Here is a 22,212-nt window from a genome sequence, read left to right as displayed (position 1 = left end):
TAGTTTTTGAGGCAGCACAAAATCAAGTCATTTAAGGAACATGCAGTTCTTATTTAACATTACTGAAGTTCCATTAAGGAATTGAATTCATCCAATTTCTACTCGATTTCTTGGATTATTTCTTCTTCAAAATTAGCGCTAGAATTAGCCTGTTTCTATGCTACCAGACATCTTTACATTTATTTCAATATAATGTAATTCCTTTCCGTTTATAAATGTAAAAAAAACCCTTCAACTTCTTAATTAACTGAAATCTCACACACACTCTGTCCCTAGTTCTAGGCTGTTTGACCTGAGTTTACATGCTTTTATTCCTGAAACCGCTCACACGGCTTAAAATGACTTTTCTATCAGTTATATGGCCAAAGACATTCTCCACCTGTGACTTACAAAAAGGAGAAACTGTCTTTGTAGACATGATAATCATGACATATGGCAAAATTTTCCTGAAGCATTTAGATAAAGCCATAAAGAAAAAAATAAACTGGCAATACAGTCCCTAAGAGGTGAAATGAATGTTCCAAAATTGCCTAATATCAAGTATAACCCCCAAGAATGTGGTCCTGGGATGGCTATTTCCCGCCTGTTCCAACGCTGCTTCTATTCCAACCTAGTCTGCCTACAGCAGGTAGCCTGAACTACAGCCAGTTTCATAACTTCACTTTTCAATTGAAGACATTACAGAGCTAACGATCACTGTCTGGTATAGATCATCCAGACTCGCCCCTTATTTAACAGAGCAGTAAACTGAGGCTCAGAAAGGGAAAAGTAGCCCCCATTAAAAACAAACCCCAAACAGTAATTTTTCCAGGACCACCCTTAAAAAACGCTACTGCTAGGCTAACTAAAGGTTGTGGTTAATTAAAAAAAAAAAGTGCTATTTTACGGGGTTAATTTTCACATATACCTCCTCAGGCTTTTTTTAAAAAGTTCGAATGGAGAGGAAAGCTTAATTTCCTGTCTGGGAAATGGAAAGTGAAGAGGCTAGCACCTTGAGTCTCACAAACGCAAGCCCCCAGGAAGAACAGTGAGGCAATTATTCACAGGGAACAAGGCCACACAGAGGGCTGCGGGGCCGTTAAAAGAAAACGGGCGGAAAAACAAAACAAAACAAAACAACAACACAACTCCCTCCTCTTTGAGGGGAGGGAGTCGTTCATTTTGCAAGGATTTGGGTCTACGATCCGGCGACCCAGCCCTTAGGACCAAACTGAGGCTCATTACTGGGGGGAGGGGAGCTTCAAACAAAACGAAACAAAAAGGCTTCAGAAAGGCCCAATGCTTCCCAATGTTAGCGTTAAAACATATGTAAATTACAGGCGGCCTGTAGCGCAGTGACGCCAAGGCGGGGGGTGCGGGGGGGGGGGTGCTGCGGAAGTGAGGAGAAGACCGGGCAGAGGTGGAGCTGCGGCCTCACAGCACCGCTTCTTCCTCATCCAGGGCTACAGATGCCCCCTGACTCTAGCCAAGAGATCTTATTATTCTTAGTCTTATTATTCTTATCTTCTCTTTTTAAACAGAGAGACAGACAGAGACAGACAAACAGGCAGAGCCGCAGTGCACACGGTCCGTGTGTCGGAGAGGCCGCCAGGAGACTCACCGCAGCAATGCTACGTGAATGCAGAGGGCTGGAGGTGATGTGACTACTCACTTGCTCGGCTAACAGCTGCCGGTTTTGGATGGAATTATTCCGCAACAACAAGAAAGCGTCGGTTAAACGCCTGGTGGCCATGTCTCACCCTTTGCGACCCCCCTCTCAGGGGCCCCCCGCCCACTTATATTCCTGATTTATTCACTTTCTTTCTCGTGGCCCGGCTGGCCCACCCTTTCACGGAAGCTTCTCGACAAGGCCTCAGGCCTCAAGCCAAAAAGATGCAGCTGTGCGCTTCGCCAAGGCGTAGAGACCCCTCCCCAAATAACTACCTAGGCTTTCCAATTGTCTGACTCCCCCTACCCAGGGCAGACTTCGATCTCTAAGCACTTGAATCCCCCCAATCCTTGCGTAGCGATCCAACGTCCCAGAGACCCCACCCCAATCCAACCTTGGATCTACAAGCGTCTAACTCGCCAATCCGGCTCTAGACTGGGAGGCCCTGAAGCCCCCTACTCCCTGAGACCCCCCGGAGGTCTCTGCTCTCTACCCCTAACTTTGGCTCGTAAGCGTCTAGGCCGTGCCCTGAGGTCTGGCTGTGACTCAGTTTCCGCACCAGAGGCCTGGCCTAGGCCCTCTTTGGACAACCGGAGCCAGGCTTGGGGCCTGGACTCGAGGGCGCCTGCAGCTCCCTTCTGGGGACTTGTCTGAACCTGCTGAGGCCCTGCCCGACCTCCTGACCCCTTCCTTTCCTGGACGGCCTGGTCCTCCACTGCCAGCAGGCTGCCGGCCTGCAGGAAGACAGCAGGGCCTGCCTCCCCGGCCTTCTCACTCCTCTTCTCCGGCTCCCTCCATCCCCGGATCTGACTGCAGCTCAGCCCCGGACCGTTTCCGTGCTGTGGTCCCGGGTTCTGGCGTTCCCCCCTGGCCCTCTTCCTGTCCGTCCCTCGCGAGTGCCCCCCTGCGACGCTCGCAAGCCTTGCTCGCAACGTTCCGGGCGCGGGAGCTCCCTGCACTCCTGCCCCGGGGCACGGGAGTGCTCCGCCCTCTCCCGGGGTGCTCCTCGGGCGCCCTGTTTCGCCTCCCCCAACTGGGTCCAGGCACTAGGAGCAGGCCAACGAGCAGGCCTGAGCCTGGGGAGCGTGGCCCCCAGGCTGCAAACCGCTGCCAGGGCCCTTGGTCGCTGAATTAGAGTGGAAGTTGCGCGGCAGGCAAATTTGGGCTCCCCAAGAACTGAAGTTTTGGGCGCGGGGAGTTGGAGCGGGAGAGGAAAAGTTGGAGACGACTGCCTCTGCAGGCCGAGCACGCTCTACTGCAGGCGGCGGCGCTCGCTTTTTTTTTTTTTTTTCCCACTCTGGAAAAAGATGTATCCGACAAACAACCACGAGGAAATAAAAGGAAAAAAAAAAAAAAAAAAGGAACAAGAACTCCAGGCAGCCTGGCCGCGCCGCCGCTGGCAGTCGGGGGTCGTCGGGGGCGCCCGCCCTCCCCAGCTGCCGCTTTCTGTAGGGGGCACTGCAGGGTCGTGGAATCTCAAGTGGAAAAGTTCCCCGAAAACTTTGACACCTCCCACCCCCCTCCCCGCGAAAAAAATCTCTGTTCCCTGCCTGGGCCCTGGCCCTGCGACCCCCGCGCCCCCCCGTGCCCCGGGCCGGGTTTTCCACGGTTGGCCGGGCCCAGGGCGCCCTAAGCACCTCGACTTGCCGCCCCGGGCCAGGTCGGCGGGGTTCGTGCAGGGGCTCCGTGGGGCCGCGTCGGGCAGGGGCCGCCCGGGCCCGAGCACGGCACCCACAAACAGGCTGGCGTCCCGCGACGGAGACCCGGGTCCGGCCCGGAGCCGCCCGGGAGGCTTGAGGCCAAGGGCCTGGCCCAGCGCGCGGCCGGAGCGGGTCGGGGGCGCAGAGCTGTGCGGCGGCGCCTTCCGGGCCCCGGGCCTGTGCAGGGCCGGCTTCCCCTTGCGGGGCGAGGCTGCGGGCCGGGCTGCGGTGCGGGGTTCCAACAAAGGACCGAGGCCCCAGAAGCGGCCCCCACGCGTCCTTTGTTTCTGCGTGGAACAAACTTTACACACGTGTGTGTTTTCCGAGGGTTTCCCGTGTGCTGAGCGCTTGCAAAGCGGAGTCGCGCCCGGGGAGACGCGAAGCCGGTGCCCGCGGCTCACCCAGGGACCCCAGCCAGACAGCGGCACCCGCGGGGCGCGTGCGGGACCCCCAGGCGACCGGGGGAAGCACCGGTAACCGCCCCCCACCCGTGCTTTTTCTCTCACGGAGAATGTTCCCGCGCGTTCGTTGTGCAACTAAAAATTAATGTGAAACATCCATTGAGGCAAATAACAAAATGCATCCAACGAAACCCACATAAAATCGAGAGAGCCGCGAGCAGGGCTGGGCGAGTTCACTGTGAGGACCGGCTCTGGCTTCCGCGCAGCGCGGAGAGCAGGGCGCTCGCCCGGGGACGCTTCGCAGCGGTGGAAGATTCGGGCGACAGGGGACTGGGTCGCCGCGCGGGCCGGGCTGGAGGCTGCAGGGACTTGCTGACAGGCCATCCAAAGACAGAGAGGCCCTGGGGAGGGAAATTCGGGGAGCCCGTGTGCTTAGCGTAGCGCCCCGGGAAATATTTGCCCAATAAGGGAGAGTTTGTCCCCACACTGCGGCAGAACCCCCCTGCGAGCTCTGACCCCAGCAGCACGGCCAAGCCCCCCCAACCCCGCTCCCCCCTTTAGGGGACAGGTATTTGTAAATAACAACTGAGCTGGTCGTCGGTAGGAGAATCAGATTAGAAACATGGTCCCCACTCTCTTCCTATCTCCCCAGCACTCATCACCTCACAAAGCAGGGGGGGACCTGTTTACTTTTCCTGGCGCTCTCCCCCAGGCTAGAACGTGATCTTCTTCCTACGCAGGGACAGTGTTTTATTCATCTTTGTACCCACTGCCATCTCATCTGGCTTGGAACAGGCTCCGGATAAATATTTTTTAAATATGTGCATGAATTAATGAGAGACTCGAGATTTAGTCCCCAAACTCTCTGACCTCCCTCGAGTGACTTTAAGCCTTTAGAGCCCTTATCTGTTAAGAAAAAAAGAAAAAAATGTGGGTTTTTCGTAATCCTCGTAATCCGCGCCCTGTCTACTTCTCTGGGGTTATTGTGAAGATCAAATAAGGTAAGTGAAAACTCTTTGTAAACTACCAGGTGCTGAGCAAATATTATATAGGATGGTTATTCATTCATTCCCTCCGTTCAGGAAGCTTAGCAAAGTAATTCCTGGTCTTGTGTTTCAGCAGATGGTGGTCGCCTTTCCTGGTCAGTCTTAAATATTTATTACAGGACAATCTCATTCTTACATTTAGGAGATCAATCAAGCTTCCATTTCTTTGAGCGAAATGAACACTGCTTGCACACAAATAATGGAAGAAAAATCCTGGTATTCCCAAAACAGCCACCCCAAGCAACCCAAGAGCCTAACAGCGGGGAGGTCAGGAAAATCCAAGAAGTTGGCATAGCAGCCCAAAGGCAGCACCGTGCAGCTCTGACCAGGCCCCAAAGGCAGCACCGTGCAGCTCTGACCAGGCCCCAAAGGCAGCACGGTGCAGCTCTGACCAGGCCCCAAAGGCAGCACCGTGCAGCTCTGACCAGGCCCCAAAGGCAGCACCGTGCAGCTCTGACCAGGCCCCAAAGGCAGCACCGTGCAGCTCTGACCAGGCCCCAAAGGCAGCACCGTGCAGCTCTGACCAGGCCCCAAAGGCAGCACCGTGCAGCTCTGACCAGGCCCCAAAGGCAGCACCGTGCAGCTCTGACCAGGCCCCAAAGGCAGCACGGTGCAGCTCTAAGCAGGCTGTGTTTAGGTATGGGATTGTGTGCCTGAAATAGTGTTAACCAAGAGGGAGCCCAGAGAGGGCATGCACCCCTGGCTCCAGTCACGTCCATGGTCCATGTTCGCCCTGACCCACACTGGAAGGGAGTTGGGGAAGGATGTAAATCATTATATTTGAATGTTCCTTGGCTGTTTTATTTTCCTGTCAAGTGACTTAAGCTTGATTTTTTTTTTTTTTTAAAGCATTCCCCCATGGCCAAGTATGTGTTTCCTTGGAATTGAAATCTAGGTTGATGGTTTTACATTTTAAAAGCTTTCATTGTGACTCATTCTTGGCCTGGGCTAGGATTCGGTAATACTCCTCGGGCTTGGTGAGGCTCCGTGTCCTGTTTCTTGGGCTTCATACCCACTTTCTAACATTCTGCCAACGAATCCAATAAGTCACTTTTGGGGACAAGTGTTTCATTGTTTTCTTGTCATCTCATTCAGTGCAGGAGGAAGCCCCATTGAAGCCAGGCCATGGCTTGGGCAGGTGCAGGTTTTCAAGTACTGAGAGGGGATGGTTAGCTCAACAGGTCAGCAGTGGGACACACACCCTTTGGTGAAAACAATTTAAATGAGATAGGGCTCATGTAAGCCCTTATACAACCTCAGCATAGAGTAAGTGCGCCACAAATGGGCAATATGATTTATTACAGCAGTAGTCTTACTGTTGGAAAGCTCACGTGGGCTCTGCTCTCCCTGGAAGGCATCATAAACTCCAAAGAGAATGGCATGGTATTGAGAACTGAACACTTGGAAATCTAAGCACGTTTCCGAGCTTCTTGTTCTGGACCTTGGGAATCCAGATGTGTCTGCAGTGCACACTCATGTGGAAGAGGGGGCTAAACCATCTCAAAGACACCTTTTAACATTGGTCTTTCTCCCACCTATAGAAAGACAGATGGTTGTTTGCTTATCAAGCAGCAAAAGCCCCCAGGCCTAACATATGTCTCGTCTGCACAGATCTGACAGACAGATTCGGGCCAGGTTCGGGTAACAGGAGTTGTGTGTTCTGTGTCCCCAAATAGTTCCTCAAAACCTTGAGTATTTCCAACAACAGAAAACTCCCTATCTGGGTCTGTCTTCAGCTATGATGCCTCTCCCAAGAAGGGAGACTCTGGAGAGAGGCAACACTTTTGTTTTGTCTGGAGTCCCGTAGCTTTTAATACCAGACAATTCAATACAGTAGGCATTTCTAAAAATCTACCAGTGGCTGTGCCTATCTCTTGCCAGGCACTGCTGAAAGAATGAAACAGCAAAACTCTTGCCTTCAGGGAATTTGCATCTCCACTGTCTCTACCCAAATTCTGGTTCTCATCGTGTACATTTTCCCAGCAGCCTGCTAACAACCACCCGTCTCTTCCCTCCTCATCCTGCAGCCACAGTGACCTTTCCAAAGCATAAATCTGATCATGTCACTGCCTGATTGAGGCCCTGAAACAGCTCCCTCTGGCCCATGCCAGCCGATCTCAAATGACGCTCAGCAGAAAACAGGTGCTCTAAGTTGAACCAAGCTGGGCATCACTAATATTAACTAATGATGGACTTTTCTTGGTTGTCAGAAAAAAAAAAATGAAGCTAATTAATGGAGTAGTCTCCATCTTAAGTGTTTCTCTTCTCGCTTTCTCTTAAACCTTCAGTCCCTGCCACCACTTGGCTGTATTAGAATATAGTATAAGACTAGATCTGATTTATTCCAGAATCATGGATTTCAGTACAATTTTTTTCCCATAGATCAGTATTTCCTGGAGTTCTGCATTTAGGTTTTCTACACTTTCCACATGGCGGAGTGCCCCCTGGGCATTCAAAGCCCTGCCCAACAGGCCCCACCTAAATGGTGAGCTTTTTTCTTTCCAGGACTTGGCTCACAGGCCTTTCTCTGCCTGGTGGGGGTAGTGGCGGGGGATGTGTCTTGCCCCTTCTGCTTGGTGAACCCTTCATTGAAGACAGCACCCCCTACACTGTCAGGTGTGATAAATGTTTGCGGAATGGATGACTGGATGGATTAATGCACAAAAGGTGAGATTAACTATATTAAGTGCTAGAGAATACCAGACAGTCAAGACTCAAAATGGGTGGAGAGATTAGGGCAGTTCTCTGTCCCCCTCGCTCACCCCTTTTCAGCCACACTAGCCTTCCCACCATTCCTCACACCTCCTTAGCACCTGCTTTGCTCTCCTTCCTAGGTTCTTCAAATAACTGGCTCCTTCTCACCACTCTTGTCTCAGACTATTCAATAGAAAGTAATCCTCCTACCCTGTCCACCGTGTGGGGAGAGGACTCTCCTCTCCCAGGGCCCTTATGTCACCATCATACCAGGTGCCTGCCCATGCTTGGTCAAGTTCAAGACTGAAACAATGTCTAACATCGTGGCTTTTGGTCTTTGAGGCCAAGAAGAGGCCTCTTGGGTCACAACACATGCCAGCAAAGCATATCTGCATTTTACTTTTTTTCCAGGATGATGTGGACACATGTGTACTCAAATAAATCAACCCTCCCATCTTAACCATCTCCCTTGGCAGGAACAATAAGTTAATGTGCCAAGCCAGGACTGACCTGGATGACTCAAACCCTGAAAAACATAAAGGAAATCATTGTGTTTTTCCGCTAGCAGGTATTGAAACATAGCCAACTCACTCGTTTCTAGTTTTTTTTCCCATGGCCATGACCACTGACCTGCTCGTGGTAATTTGTGTGATGTGCAAGTGCAGGGCTGGACTCCAGCCTTCTCCAGATGCTGCCTGTGCAACCAGCAGCCCCTTATTAGCTATGTGGCCATGCATGGCTCAAGACTCCTTTGGTCACAAGGGACAGAACCCAAATCAAATGGACTTAAGCTTCAAAGCAAATGTGTTGGCCCAAACATCTATGCGTAGCTGGATCCAGAGGAGGAAACATATCAACAAGGAGTTTCTATCTCTCAGCTCTTTCTTCCCCTGTGCTGGTTTCATTCTCAAGCCAGTGAACCCCAGGAGGTGGCAGATTGCTCTCTGGAAGCTCTGCCCTGTTATCTCACAGGACAGCAACCCCAATAGATTGAAATTTCTCTTTTCCAGTGGTTTCAAAAGTCCTAGAATGGACTCTCATTGGCCTGTCATGAGTTATAGCCTTATCCCTGAATTCATTTTTTTTTTTTTTTTTTTGAGCCAGGGTCTTACTCTGTCTCCCAAGCTAGAATGTGGCGACACAATCACAGCTCGCTGAAGCCTCAACCTCCCAGACTCAGGTGATTCTCCCACCTTAGCCTCCCAAGTAGTTGGGACTACAGGCAGGTACCACCATGCCTGGCTAATTTTTATACTTTTTTTTTTTTTTTTGAGACAGGGTCTCACTCTGTCACCCTGGCTAGAGTACAGTGGCGCTATCATAGCTCACTGCAACCTCAAATGATTCTCCCACTTCAGCCTCCCAAGTAGCTGAGACCATGGACATGTGCCACTGTACCCTGCTAAGTTTTATATTTTTAGTAGAGATGGGGTCCAGGCTGGTCTCGAATTCCTGGGCTTAAAGAATCAACCCACCTTGGCCTCCCAAAGTGCTGGGATTACAGGCATAAGCTACCACACTCAGCCATAATTTTTTATACTTTTTGTAGAGATGGGGTTTCACCATGTTGCCCAGGCTGGTCTCGAACTCCTGGGCTCAAACTATCCACCTGCCTTGGGCCTTCCAAAGGCTGGAATTGCAGATGTGAGCTAGTATCCTGAAATTCTAAACTTAGCCAGAAAGTAGTGATCATCAGATGGGTCAGACCAGGATCACGTGACCACTTCTGAACTCAGGGAGGGTGCCAGGGTCTGATCCATCCAAACACAATGGATTATAAACTCGCCTCTTCTGAAATCAGCGTGTTAGAACCAAGAAAAGTGATGTTGGGTGCTCGCATGCAACAGATTTCTACCTTGGGTCTGTTTTCAACCCACTGTGTGCCCTTTGCACACTGCTATATGCCTCTCCTTCAAACCCACTCCTCTGGCTTCTGGAACTTTGGTCATGCCTGCTTCTCCTCCTTCATCATCCCTCTGAGGCCCAGCCCCCAAATTTTGATTTTCCCCAGTGTTAAGTCCTTGCTTTTCTGTTACCTTTCACCTAACCACAGTGGCAGGTCCCGCCTACCCATGGGCCTCCTGCACACACTCTACCCATGGGCCTCCTGCGCACACTCTACCCATGGGCCTCCTGCGCACACTCTACCCATGGGCCTCCTGCGCACACTCTACCCATGGGCCTCCTGCGCACACTCTACCCATGGGCCTCCTGCGCACACTCTACCCATGGGCCTCCTGCGCACACTCTACCCATGGGCCTCCTGCGCACACTCTACCCATGGGCCTCCTGCGCACACTCTACCCATGGGCCTCCTGCACACACTCTGCCTCTCATTCAGAGCATCCGTGTGGATTTTCCACTGCACGGAGCTGCCTAGGTGTCTTACATGCTCAACAGTGAACCACTGGCTGCCCATCCAAGCATGCTCTTCCTTCTCCTCTATTCCTTATCTTTCATTGGCACCCCTAAATAGAGCCTTTGGTATCATTTACCATCCTTGCTCCCATTTGCCCCCACCACCTGCCAATGTACCACTCAGGACCACATCGTGACAGATTCTGCATCCTAAATATCAACAGTCTGCTCTCCTCTCCATCTTCACTGCTCTTATCACCTCTTTTGCCTGGAAAATCACAACAGACTGTCTAGCTGGTCGTCACACCTCCAGTGCTGGTCCCTGGTGTGGAATGCTTTCCAAACCATCACCTTTGTAAAAATATCAATCTGTTCATGTTCCTTTCCTGATTAGATAACTGCTTTGTCTTCCTACTGCCTATTAGAAAAAAATAACTCTTTAACTTTGCTCTCAAAGCTGGATGTGTCCAGGGTCTTTCCAGCCACCCCTGCCTTGAATCCTGTGCCCTGCAGAACATTCTCTGCATACTCCGTGCTTCGACCTTTTTTTTTTTTTTTTCCAAGACAGGGTCTCGCTCTGTTGCCCAGGCTGGAGTGCAATGGTGCGATCTCGGCTCACTGCAACCTCCGCCTCCTGGGTTCAAGTGATTCTCCTGCCTCAGCCTCCCCAGTAGCTGAGATTACAGGCATGTGCCACCACATCCAGCTAATGAGGTTTCACCATGTTGGCCAGGCTGGTCTCAAACTCCTGATCTCAAGTGATCCACTCACCTCGGCCTCCCAAAGTGCTGGGATGACAGGCGTGAGCCACCGCGCCCGGACTTCATGTCTTCTTGATGGAAATCAAGGCTGATTCAGTCAGACTGTGTCACATTATCTCTGGAAATATGACTGGACAGGGGGTCTGGGTGAGTCTCATTTGATTCTCTCTGGGTGCTCCGTTTCTCCTGAGGAGCTAGCTATTCCAGAATCTGGGGACCCAAGACACATGTTATCTGTGTCTTCCAAAGGAGAGACTTCCATAGGATAGATGTTTTTGGGGTCCATAAAGACGTTAGAGTGATAAAACGTGGTGTAACTGAGAGGTTCATTCTTGCAGAAGCTCCAATCTAGGTAGGGTGCAGTAGGAGGATAAGAGGAGCTGCACTCCAGTGGACTCCCCCATCTAAGGGTGCCTCCTACTGTGACAGTTACCAGCACGATGATTTCCGGCACCTCCGTAGTGCCCCAAGGACAAGGTTGTTAACAGTCGGTACCGGGATCTGACTCAATCCATGAAAGAACCAGTTGACTGACCAACACAGAAGTATGGAGTAGCTACCATGAGCCCAGCCTTGTGGGAGATGCAAGAGTTTATAAAGAAGTTCTGCTCTCAAAGAACTCACAGTCTAGCTGGGGACACAAAACCAACAGACGGGAAACAATTAGTGAGCAACGGAGCTTGAAAAAATATGCCAAAGTGACTATAAAGGCAGCAGCAGTTCAGAAAGGGGAGAGATGATATTTCAATGAAAGCATCTTCATGGAGGAGGTAGGGGAAGACCTGTGCCTTGAAGGATGGAAAAGGGCTTCAGAGAGGGAAGGGTGTTGCAGACGAGAGCAAACAGTAGGAGCAAAGCTGAAGAAGCAGGGCTAAGAATAAGGCAGGCGAGAGAGCCTGACTGATCTGTACGAGCCTGGGCAAGGTGTGGACACATAAATTATAATGGAGCAACCAGGCATGGTGGCTCACGCCTGTAATCCTAGCACTTTGGGAGGCCGAGGCAGGCGGATCACCTCAGGTCAGAAGTTTGAGACCAGCCTGGCCAACATGGTGAAACTCCGTCTCTACTAAAAATACAAAATTTAGCTTGGCGTGGTGCTGGGTGCCTGTTATCCCAGCTACTCAGGAGGCTGAGGCAGGAGAATGGCTTGAACCCAGGAGGCAGAGTTTGCGGTGAGCTGAGATGGTGCCACTGCACTCCAGCCTGGAGCACAGAACAAGACTCTGTCTCAAAAAAAAAAAAAAAAAAAAAAATAGAATGAAGCAAGATTTGGAGGCCCCAAGAGTTAGGGGTTTAAATTTGATGTGTATTGAATTCACAAACATTTATTGAGTATCTACTGTGTGTCAGGTACTGTGAAATTGTGCAGGACATTCACAGATGAACAAGTCACAGGGCAAGTTGGACACATCAATAGCTCATGGTAAGTGTTGCAGTGCAAGTAGCTGCCTAGGAGGCAAAGTGGGGCAACCAGCCAACCCAATTTAGGAAAGATTTAGGTGGGCTTCATGGAGGAGGTGATATTTATGTTAATCCTATAGAGCACTGGAAGTCGGCCAGGTGTAGAAGGGGCAGGAGCATGATCTAGGCACGTGTAAGGATGTTCACTGCAGTGTTGTTTATCCCAGTGAAGAATGAGAAACAATTTAAACATCCAGCAAAAGCAACAAGTTAAACAAATTTGGTCCACCCACATGAAACTTCAGGCAACCTTTAAAAAGAATAAAGAATTTCTGTATATTTTGATTTGGAAAGATCTTCAGAATATAGTGTTAAGAGAAAAAAATCACAAGATCCAGAAAAAATGTATTGTATGCTATCTTACATGTGAGAAAAAAAGAAATATACATTTTGTTGGTAAATGACTAGGCCATCTCCGGAAAGAGACATGAGACATGTGGATAATAGTTGTTTCCAGGTAGGAGAATGAAGAGGGGAGTACAGCTGAGGCTGTGACTCAATCTTGATGTGAAATGACTCCAAAAGGAGGTCTTGCTTAAAGCTTGAGTCTTAGAAGGTGCTGAGGGTTACCCAGGCAGATGGGCAAGGAAGAGGGTTCTGGACAGAGGGGACAGTCCAAATGAGCCCAAGGGTTTAGAGACCCTGATGGGGGCTGGAGAGCAGATAGACTTTGGATAGGTGGCTGATAGCAGGCAGAGGCTGGACCCTGAGATTGGTGTGCCAGATAAGGAGTTCACACTTTAGTCTAAAACCACTCCCTCTCTTCATCCATCAGCGTTGATGTGGACCTATGATGGCTTCAGAGACTATTAACTTGGCCAGGCTCAACTGCATTTCCTGGAATTATCTTTCCTGCATGTTTGCAGTTCAGATGGACCACAGGGAAGATTCTTGGAAGGTTCTTGCAAGATTCAGAAGGCAAGAGAGGCTGCAGCCGTGTTTTGCAGTTGACACACGTTGCTGCTGATCTGCTGACTCACCTCACTGGAGTGAAGCAGCCTGCCACAACACCCGCAACCTTCCCCGGCAACTTCTTGCTACTTTTCGACTCCCAGCCGCGTGTATGTGTTCAGCTCTGTGATGAAGGGCTAGGCTTCTGCAGGACAGCCTCACCACTGTGGTCAGAGGCAACAAGAATAGCCACGGGCTTCAGGCTGCCATCCTGGGGCTCTAGCTTGTGCTCGTGGGTTCTTGCTCTCCCTACTTGACATCTGCCTTTCCTCTCGACTGCCTATCCTGTGGACCTGACACCAGCATCAGACTTGACACGCAGCCTGACAAAGACTGCTTACCCGGTTCCCACAAATGCATAAGCCAATTCTCCATAACAAATCCCATAAAATAATTTACATGTATATAACTCCTATTTCCACTTTTCCAGTTGAACTCCGGCAGATTTACCCATCCTGTGCTAGGCACTGTTGAGGACTCTGAGGATACAATGATGAACAAAACCAGTGTAATTCCTGTCTTCCTCTCCCCCACCCCACCATTCACTTTCTAGGAGGAGGAATCAGAAAATAAACAACGAATAAACAATGCAATCCCAGAGAGTGATAAATGCCAGGAGAAAACCAAAAAGAGTGGCCTGCTCGGACCAGGGGTAGTCCAGGGATGCTTCTCAGAACAAATGGCATTTGAGCTGAGCCCTGAAGGGAAGGAGGGGACAGCTATGCAGGAGCACTCTGGACAAGACGCACTTCAGGGCGATGCTCCTAGGTGGCATGAGCCTGGAGTCTTCGAGGAACAGAAAGGAGCCAGGCGGACCGGAGGGCCTTGAGGAGGGAGAGTGCGCAGGGTAAGCTGGAACCCAAGGCTGGCTCCAACTTTGTTGGGCTTGGAAGACAAAGCAGGGAGTTCGGATTTTACTCTAAGAGCATCCTGGAGTTAAGGGATCTTTCAAAGCTGGCTGAGTGAAAGCCCACACACAACTTTGCCTTTGAAAAGTGGGGATAAAATGTGGTCTTGCTCTGTGTGTGTGTGTGTGCGTTGGGGTGGGGGGCGATTTGTGTCTTGGTTTTTGCCTCGGCGTGACTTACAGACCTTTCCATCCTGCATCGGTGCCGGGAGAGCCCAGCTCCCTGCTGCTGTCACCAGAATTCCATCTTTCCAAGGAAATCAGGCTTTCTCCTGCTAAGGAGTTCTGTCCAGGACTCTGATAAAAGCAGTATGTGAAGCTAAATAACTCGTGTGATTTTACACTTCATTTCCTTGGGATGCCATTAGGAACATCAAGCACTTCTGTCTTTATTTGACACGATTTCCTACCCTGTTCTGCCTTGGAACAGAAGAAAAATGAAAAGAGAGAAATGGTATTGGGAAGTTGCATTGGGAGTGGTAGGGCAGCTGTTTCAAGGCAGGGCTTTTGGAGTCCAGCAGAGGGAGAGGCTTCCGAAACAGGACAGATGGCAGCCACCTTCCTAAGGGGTCACTGGTCAGCCTCACGTTCTCTGGCTCCTGTTCCAAGCCTCAGCATTTCTGTCTAATTGATTTAGAAATAGTGTATTTATTGGACAGATGCCTAGAGATCATGTAGCCCAGAGAAGGGAAGCTGTTTGCCCAAGGTCACACAGCAGCTCAGTAGCATAGTTTGGCCTTGCAGCTAGCTCTTTCGACTGCCAGAGCAGCCTGGAGCACCCCTTAGAGAAGAGTTAGTGTCTTCCCCAGGTCCCCTATAAAGACCAGCACCTCCTGCATTTGGTTCTCTGGGACAATTGGTGTCTTTTCTCACTGTGGAGATGTGATCACTTAGATCTTCATTTAGTTCACAAGCAGGGGTGGAGCAGGGTGGGGTGCACAGGCTGGAGGGAACCAACGCAGGAAGCATATGACAGAGTAAAAACACAGCCCACCCGGCATGCCGTGCCATGTGCCCTCACTGCATTGGATGAATGGGTCAGTAGGTGGATGGTGGTCACACGTGAGTGCTGGCTTCACTCTCTTCTCTCCCATAATTTAAAGACCTGAAGTTTCACCTCCAGGAAGACTTCCTGGACTAGTGGAAGATCAATCTTTGGCCTGAACCGGTTGCCTAGGCAACTTCCACTGTTTCTGGACTCATGAGTCCTTCTAGTAAGGGTCCCAGGACTGAGCCTCAATGGCCTGAAGAGAGTCATGTGCCCACACCTGTGACTACTTAGTGGCTATCACCAGGGGTGTGAGGCTCATCTGGTCTAGCCTGGTCACCTGCTCACGACAGAGCTAGAGCTGGACCAGGCCCTCCAGATTTGTAGACTGAAGCAGCAAGGTGCTGTTCTGAGGAAAATCAGGGTGCTGTTACCAGAACACCCTGGCAAGCAAGAAAGAGCAGCGAGCCCTACAGACGGCAAACAAGGATTTCCTTATCTCCTGGTCGGAACCACTAAGAACCGTGGAACCATGTGTACTTAATTCATGTCTGTACTGTCCTCACGCGGAGTGAGGGCTTTGTAAATATTTGCTGAGTGAATGAAAGAATAAATGAATAGTAAATGAATGAATGAACCTCCCGAGTGATAAAGGCAGTCTTTACGGTGGGCACGAGGCAGGGACTACTGTGCGCAGGGAACGGCCGCGGGCTCCACACTTGCTGTGATTGGCCGGCGAGACAATCTCGGGTGCCCAGGCTGTTTGGACAGCACGCAGGCCCACAGCAGGCAGGATGGCACCCCTGCCAAGGGCACTTGGGCTTGAAGTTAGAGCAGGGAGGCTGGCGTGCTGGTGGCAGGGCTGAGGCTCAGGGTGCAGCTCAGTGTGAAATGAGGGCTGCTCTTCTCAGACCTGTCAGCCTTGGCCAGCGGCCCTCGTCCTAGGGAAACTTTGGAGGCAACAGATGGATCTGGAGTGACAGGAGAGAGCCCCTGGCCATGCTAATTTCCCTCACTCTGCGGAGGCTGAGCTGGCGCAGATCAGAATGGAGAACCGATAGGCATTTCTGCCGGGATAGGGGTGGTTGCAGAAGGCCCGTAGAACATCCGGGAGTGAGGATGGGGCAGCATCTCTATGTACCCTGGAGGCGGGCCTCAGCCTGGCTGGTGTCCCCTTGCTTTCCTTAGTCCAGCCCTCCAGGTCCCAACCAGCAGGGCTGGGCCAATGGCAATGGCAATGGAACTGAAGATTTTTGTTTTCAACGCAGGAAGCTCCAACAGGCAATCTTCAGCCTTGGGAAGGGGTGGGCAGAAGGGGCCACCCATGTCCGAAGGCGAAACAAGGCTGCTTTGGGATGCGTTTCCCATACGCAGGGAGCCGCTTTTTCACAGCTTTTGGGTCTTTTAAAATGAGAGGCACATGGAGGGTGGAAGAATTTGGTGGTCCCCAATGACCTACGAGGAAAGAAGCATTCCCAGGCTCTTGGCTCAGGCTGACGAAGCATCCAGTTTTTCAAGAACCGGCCTAACTGGGCTTCCCCTAGTGGGGAGGCAGGATGCCGCAGTTTCTTCTGTGCTCAACACCGAAAATGGTCTGTCTCACTCAGCTCTCTCTTTTACAGACAAAGAAGCCGTTTCAGAGAGCTCGGGTGACCTGAGGTCATGGAGAGGCAGAGCCAAGATGGAACTCAGGTCAATCTGGCTCAGTGCCCACCTCCTGGCCACTCAGTCATGTCGATTTGGGGGAAACCTACCAGCATCACCCATGATAATCTTAGTTAAGGCCACTCAGCTGAGAGCACCTTGTAACCAAGTCCTTGGGGACCTCACAGAGCTGCGAGGAATAGGAGCTGGACTCAACCATGGACAGATATTGACAGAGCAGCTACTATTGCCAGGCAGGGATCTGGCTGCTGGGGATGCCACTGGCAGCCAGACACAAGTTCCCTGCCCTGTGACAGACAGGAGACACACACCAAGGGTGATCAGGGAAGGCTTTCAGGAGGAGGTGACATTGATGCAGAGACCAGTAGTAAGCCATGAAGCTGTCGCAGGGAAGAGTGTCACAGGGAGTGGGAAGAGCAGGGAGGGGAGGGAAAGCCGTGAGGCTGGAGTGTGGCAGGCGCCAGAGGTGAAGAGCCTGCCAGGCCGTGAGGACTTCGGGTTTGTTGAGTGTAGTCAGGTACTGCTGTTTCCTGGAGTGTCTACATGTGGGCGTCTCAGGGGCTCCCTCTTCGTCTCTGAAATGCTTCAGGCCCCTGAAGGGCTACGGTTCCTGAAGGGAGCAGTTCCTCCAGGCCAGACACAGCCATTCAGGCCTTCCCAGCTACTGCTATGGAGGTTTGGGGTGGCCTTTCCTTTTAATGTCAGTCTGGTGAGCTCCCACCAACTGGGCCGTCTCATCCGTACATCCTGATGGTCACCTGTGCTTGATACCACTTGCGATGAAAGGATTCCAAAGCCCTTCTCCTGAAATTTCTACAGAACATCTCTCTGTAACACACGCACAGAGGGCAGCCAGGGAGATTTACCAGTGAGAACCCTGCTTCCTTCCCTCCCTCCCTTCCTTCCTTCCTCCCCCCCTTCCTTCCTTCCTTCCTTCTTCCCTCCCTCTCTCTGTGCTCCCTCCCTCCCTCCCTTCCTTCCTCCCTCCCTCCCTCTCCTCCTCCCTCCCTTCCCCCTCCCTCCCTTTCTCTCTCTCTTTTTCTTCCTTCCTTCCTTCTTCCCTCCCTCTCTCTGTGCTCCCTCTCTCCCTCCCTCCTTCCTTCCTTCATTTCTTTTTCCCTCCCTCCCTCCTTCCTTCCTCCCTCCCCTCCCTCTCTGCTTCCCTTCCTTCCCTCCCTCCTTTCCTTCCTTCCCTTCCTTCCTTCCCCCCTCCCTCCCTCCCTCTCTCTCTCTCTTCCTTCCTTCTTTCCCTTCCTGCCTCCTTTACTTCTTCCTTTTCCTCCTTCTTTCCTTCCTTTTCTCCCTCTCTTCTTCCCCTCCCTCCATCCTTTCTTTCTTCCCCTTTGATCTTTTTTGTCTCTCAGCAACAATGGACCTCCAGTCGGCCCTGCTTTTTTCCCAGGAATGTTTATGGCACTCTTTCCCACTTGTTTTTATTTCCAAACGTGTAACAGGCCACCCATCAAAGGATGGAATAGGGAAGAAAGTGAGAAGAGAGAGGTCGAGGGAGCAGTCATCGGGTAGCTGCTCCTGGCCTTTGAGTAAGCCGTTTGCCCACTCGATTTGTCAGTTTGTTTGGCCCTCGATGGGGAGGCATCCATCCTTGACCCTCGGAGAGTCCTGAGAGACAGGAGGAGAGGGGTTCTCCATGGCAGTGAGGGGTTCCCTAGCAGGGACCCTAGAGAGAAACGGCTCCAGACCAGGCTTTCCCGGCTCGGTGCTGCTGACAGTCGGGCTGGTCTGCTGTGGGGCCGTCCTGTGCACTGTAGGATGTCTAGTGACACCCCAACCTTAAACTGTGACAAACAAAATTGAACCCAGACTTGGCCAGGTGTTCCCTGGACACAAAATCACCACTGGCTGAGAACCACAGGTCTCCGTGTCCAGAGGCCCTGCAGGGTGCCCCATGGCCAGTGGCTGTGTGGACTTGGTGGCCCATAAGAGGCTCTCGGTGACGCGGGGCTGCAGCACATCACACGACATGGAGCAGATCCGCCAGCGAGGCCCCGACCCAGGAGAGACTCTGCCCCACAGCAGCAGGTGTGAGGCAGCCCCCCACTCCTGGGCCAGGAGCGTCATCGCCCAGAAGGCCCGTGTGGGTGTCCTGGAGTGGGTGTGGCCTCCTCTGATTACTCAGAAAGGCAGCAGAGGTGCAGAGAAGCCTCTGGGGCCTGCTGCTCTGTGTCCTGTGGCAGCATCAGCCCCTGCGGCGGAGGGAGAGATGCCGGGACAGGCAGTAGTGTGAGTGTTTCCAGCCATCAGGTTCTGTAGGGGAGCACGCAGTCCCAGGGGAGGCCCACTTGGGTCCCAGCGGACCGTTAAGAAAGCTCTCCTCTATGGCTGCCCGAACTGTGGTGGGTATGGCCTGACCTTGACTTCCTGTACACTTTCATTTTTCATTTTTTTTTCCTGGTTCTTGGCTCTGGAAAAAGTGGGAAAACATATACAGTGACCATACTGTTGACGTCTCAGTCAGAGAAGAGGAACGATTTCACAGTAGCTGGGGGAAAGCGCTGGATACCACGTGCACTCATAAATCACGCCCACGTTTATGCATCTGCGGATGTGGGGCCGCAGATATTTTTCCTTTCTGAAGAAGAGAATTTAAGCTCTAGAAACTCTGACAAGGCCCCAGTAAATGGGGGCTTTTCTCCTGCCTGCTAAGGGCAGCTTTCAGAAGAGACGTTTGTCAAATGGAACCCGAGTCACCTTTTCCTGCTCTGCTGGATGGGCAGGAGCCGGGCACACCAGGGCAGGAGTCTCCCCTCTGAAGACCTGACCCCTGGGGAAGGCAAGCAAGATTTTCTTGCAAAAAGTTCATGGAATTAGAGACAAGCAAGGTGTCTTCCTGGGGACGCTCGTGGTACCGTAGCAGCAAGGGCCGTGGCAGGCACAGCATAGGGACTTGACAGGCATCGAACGAGTGACTTCGTGTTCCCAAATTGGCAGGATGGTTGACTTCTGTGTGCGGAACATTTCCCATCGCCCATCTGGCAGCCACGTGCTTCTGCCCCGTCACTGTCACTCCCTCTCTGAGTCGAGCTCGCAGTCACTAGGCTGCGAAATGACTGCTGAATACACTATCGATCAAACAGCACATGTTTTGAACATCTATCATGTATATGCCACTGGGTTAAGACCTAGAAAGTATATGGGGCTTTGGGGAGGGGAAGGAGGTTCTTTTAGGAAGGAGGGCAAATGCATGGCACACCTAACCCCACCCTCCCCTCCCATGCTCCTAGCAGACACTGCTAAACCATCACCACATGTGGCGCTTCAGAATGCTGGTTGACAGAGAGCTCTGGGCTGCTCCTCCTTGGGAAGGGCTTTCTGTGATATGGCTCTGGGAGGTAAGGGGCCACCCACTTGACTAGCCAGATGTGCCACAGGGATCCTGGTGATCAATGGTGTAAAAGACATCACAGAGCAATCACCCACATGTCACCCTATTCTGCTATTCTGAGTATTAGAGACCTTTAGGAGGTCATTACAGCAGTGGCGGTGAGAGAATTAGAGGCCTTTGGGAAGACACCCACCCCTCATAATACAAAGAATCTTAAGAGGCAAAGTCACAGATGATGACGGCCAGTTGAGACCATGACAGTAGGCCCAGGCTTTCTGTGGTATGGCGGCTCACCTCCACAAAGGCAACCCTGAAAGACTTCCTGGAGGTGGTGATGTGCCATTGCGTTAGCAGTTTCCCCTCTCCTAGGTGAGACAGTGCCAAATTCCTACTCCTTACCGGAGCCTTCCAGACCTTACCGTTTTCCAGCCAAAGTGGCCTTGGGCGCATGCCTAGAACTGGCCAAGCCCTTCCCCACCTCAAGGACTCTGTTCTCTGGCTGCCTCGGCCAGGAATGGTCTTACCGTAGCTCATTTGATGGCTGGCTCCTTCCTGTCCTTCAAGTCCCCAAGTCCCTTCCTCAGAGAAGCCTTCCAGCCACACTCTCTCCTGTAAGTCTCTGTCCTGGTACCTTGTTCATTTCCTTCATATGTGTCTCTTCTACTAGGATGTGAGCCAGCCTGGCCTGCTCACCATGGTGGGCCTAATATCTAGTGTTAGGCGTATTTAGGTCCTCCACAAATATTTGTCCAAAGAATGAAGAATGAGTGCACCTGCAGTGGTCTCCACGGGAAGTACCGGCCACAAGGCCAGGGCTCTCAGGTCACTATAGAGCAGTACTTTGCGTTAAAAGTATTTTACCGAATCCTGGTTGCTGCTCTGAAGTTGCCCATAACTCTTCCCCTGTGGAAAGCCGCACAGCAACTTGTGTCCCCGGCATGAGCTCATCGGTCCTCTGCGAAGTTACTTCTGCATCTCCCCCGACCCCAATCAGTGGGGGCTCCGCTTTCCCTAGGTAAGCACGGGAGGCAAGGACTGGTGTGGCCAACCCACTGGCTGGTGGCTAGAAAATCATCCACAAATCATGTATCCTTGACATGGAAAAACATACACATCAATGTATTCACTTGGCCCAGGCCCAGTTCTAGAAACCAGAAGTCTGAAATCAAGGTGTGACCACGTTCCCTCCAAAAGCTCTAGGTGAGGATCCTTCTGGCCTTTTCTGGATGGTGCTGGTTCCTGGTATTCCCTGGCTTCTGGCCGCATCACTCCCATCGCTGCTTTGTCCTCACATGGCCCTCTTCCCTATGTGTCTTCTGTCCTCCTCTGTTCTCAGAAGGACACCATCATTGCATTTAGGGCCTACCCTAAAACCAGGATGATTGCGCCTCAAGATCCTTTACTAATGACATCGGCAAAGAACTTATTTCCAAATAAGCTCACTCTGAGGTTCCAGTGGACATGGAATTTGGAGGGACTCCCAGGGTCATCAGGGCGTTGGCTGGCTATGGGCAGATGTCCCTGGGTACCCAGGACTTCCCGCAGGCCCAGAGGACCCCAGAAGAGAGGCCAGCATGGGCAGCCAGACTGCTGCTGTTCAAGTCCTCCTGGTGGTCCTCACGCCTCCAGCCCTGCTCCTCCTTGGCATGGAGCTCCTTCTCAGTGGGGTCTACTTGCGCCCCCTCACTTTCCGGAATAGCTTTAGAGAGGCCACACATTGCATTTCTTTTCTTTTGGGGCCCGGTGAAGATAAGGTCACCTTGGATTCTATCGTCTCCATCACCATCATCAATTTTCGCTTTGTATTTTGCTGTGTATGTGTGTTTTAAAAATTTGTTTTGTTTCTTAAAGTCTCACTAGGGCCAGAGAGTGTCTTTAGGGCCTTGTAACATTTGCTGCAGGCTGACAGAGGATCCATTGTCCACGGGGCTGGGGTCTTCTGGGGAGATGTAGGTCTCCTTTCTCCTGGGGCCTGGGGCTGGTCTCAGCTGCCCTCAAACCAGGCTTTGCTGGGAAGTGGGCTGCAGAGTGGACTCAAAGAGAGTCATAAACCCCAGGCGGGAATGCAGCATGGGTCAGAATGCTTGGGTTAGAATGGAACAATTGACAGCCTGGGAGATCAGCCTTCTCCTCTCATTCCAGGCCTGACTGTCACAGGCCTCAGATGCAGGGACTGTGAGGAGCTCAGCCTGGAGGGTACGCAAGACCAGGCCTCCTTTTCTTCCTGTTAGGGTCAGTGAGCAGGGACAAGTAAACCAAGGCTCTGCCCTCATGGAGCCCCCCATC

At 51.8% G+C, this 22,212-nt stretch overlaps 1 protein-coding gene and 3 long non-coding RNA genes across 11 annotated transcripts in view, besides 9 other annotated features; 1 reads left to right on the top strand and 3 right to left on the bottom strand.

The window, feature by feature from the left end:
- Positions 1 to 2,456, bottom strand: part of STX16 (syntaxin 16) — a 28,244-nt gene extending 25,788 nt beyond the window's left edge. For 3 of the 8 annotated variants that reach the window (NR_037941.2, NM_001134773.3, NM_003763.6), the window contains exon 1: positions 1,652 to 2,456. Coding sequence is in view for 4 of the 8 variants with exons in the window: in NM_001134773.3 (NP_001128245.1) it covers positions 1,652 to 1,732 (81 nt within the window). In the remaining 4 variants the exon portion in view is untranslated. Of the gene's footprint in view, positions 1 to 1,600 lie in introns of all 8 variants that reach the window. The other 5 variants (NM_001001433.3, NM_001134772.3, NR_037943.2 and 2 more) reach the window with 4 other exon arrangements.
- The window catches only part of STX16-NPEPL1 (STX16-NPEPL1 readthrough (NMD candidate)), a 64,592-nt gene extending 62,106 nt beyond the window's left edge, over positions 1 to 2,486 (bottom strand). Inside the window, exon 1 of the long non-coding RNA NR_037945.1 lies at positions 1,601 to 2,486. This is a non-coding gene — a long non-coding RNA (STX16-NPEPL1 readthrough (NMD candidate)). The remainder of the gene's footprint in view (positions 1 to 1,600) is intronic.
- Positions 1,087 to 1,590: an enhancer, noted in NCBI's record as "OCT4-NANOG-H3K27ac hESC enhancer chr20:57227205-57227708 (GRCh37/hg19 assembly coordinates)". NCBI's record gives its function as "activates a minimal SCP1, AML or CMV promoter by ChIP-STARR-seq in primed H9 embryonic stem cells {active_cell/tissue: H9 hESC(primed)}" and the evidence as "EXISTENCE:reporter gene assay evidence [ECO:0000049][PMID:30033119]".
- Positions 1,087 to 1,697: a biological region, named in NCBI's record as "OCT4-NANOG-H3K27ac hESC enhancer GRCh37_chr20:57227205-57227708".
- Positions 1,428 to 1,697: an enhancer, noted in NCBI's record as "active region_18177". NCBI's record gives its function as "activates an Ori minimal core promoter by ATAC-STARR-seq in GM12878 lymphoblastoid cells {active_cell/tissue: GM12878}" and the evidence as "EXISTENCE:reporter gene assay evidence [ECO:0000049][PMID:35858748]".
- Positions 3,194 to 3,553: a silencer, noted in NCBI's record as "silent region_13074". NCBI's record gives its function as "represses an Ori minimal core promoter by ATAC-STARR-seq in GM12878 lymphoblastoid cells {active_cell/tissue: GM12878}" and the evidence as "EXISTENCE:reporter gene assay evidence [ECO:0000049][PMID:35858748]".
- LOC107985410 (uncharacterized) lies at positions 4,104 to 13,616 on the top strand. Its single transcript, XR_005647058.2, has 3 exons — positions 4,104 to 4,750; positions 11,962 to 12,034; positions 12,848 to 13,616. It is a non-coding gene; the product is annotated as an uncharacterized LOC107985410 (long non-coding RNA).
- Positions 4,727 to 5,264: an enhancer, noted in NCBI's record as "H3K27ac-H3K4me1 hESC enhancer chr20:57223531-57224068 (GRCh37/hg19 assembly coordinates)". NCBI's record gives its function as "activates a minimal SCP1, AML or CMV promoter by ChIP-STARR-seq in primed H9 embryonic stem cells {active_cell/tissue: H9 hESC(primed)}" and the evidence as "EXISTENCE:reporter gene assay evidence [ECO:0000049][PMID:30033119]".
- Positions 5,952 to 6,246: a silencer, noted in NCBI's record as "tiled region #5631; HepG2 Repressive non-DNase unmatched - State 20:ReprD, and K562 Repressive DNase matched - State 13:Ctcf". NCBI's record gives its function as "represses a minimal TATA promoter and a strong SV40 promoter by Sharpr-MPRA in HepG2 and K562 cells {active_cell/tissue: HepG2 | K562}" and the evidence as "EXISTENCE:reporter gene assay evidence [ECO:0000049][PMID:27701403]".
- Positions 15,205 to 15,840: an enhancer, noted in NCBI's record as "H3K27ac-H3K4me1 hESC enhancer chr20:57212955-57213590 (GRCh37/hg19 assembly coordinates)". NCBI's record gives its function as "activates a minimal SCP1, AML or CMV promoter by ChIP-STARR-seq in naive H9 embryonic stem cells {active_cell/tissue: H9 hESC(naive)}" and the evidence as "EXISTENCE:reporter gene assay evidence [ECO:0000049][PMID:30033119]".
- Positions 18,001 to 18,967, bottom strand: LINC01711 (long intergenic non-protein coding RNA 1711). The gene has a single exon (NR_125359.1). It is a non-coding gene; the product is annotated as a long intergenic non-protein coding RNA 1711 (long non-coding RNA).
- Positions 18,744 to 18,813: an enhancer, noted in NCBI's record as "active region_18176". NCBI's record gives its function as "activates an Ori minimal core promoter by ATAC-STARR-seq in GM12878 lymphoblastoid cells {active_cell/tissue: GM12878}" and the evidence as "EXISTENCE:reporter gene assay evidence [ECO:0000049][PMID:35858748]".
- Positions 18,834 to 18,963: an enhancer, noted in NCBI's record as "active region_18175". NCBI's record gives its function as "activates an Ori minimal core promoter by ATAC-STARR-seq in GM12878 lymphoblastoid cells {active_cell/tissue: GM12878}" and the evidence as "EXISTENCE:reporter gene assay evidence [ECO:0000049][PMID:35858748]".

This window comes from Homo sapiens, chromosome 20 (genome assembly GCF_000001405.40).
Source record: "Homo sapiens chromosome 20, GRCh38.p14 Primary Assembly".
NCBI lineage: Eukaryota > Metazoa > Chordata > Mammalia > Primates > Hominidae > Homo > Homo sapiens.
Note: the sequence above shows the minus strand (reverse complement) of the source record. Positions and strands in the feature narration are given on the sequence as shown.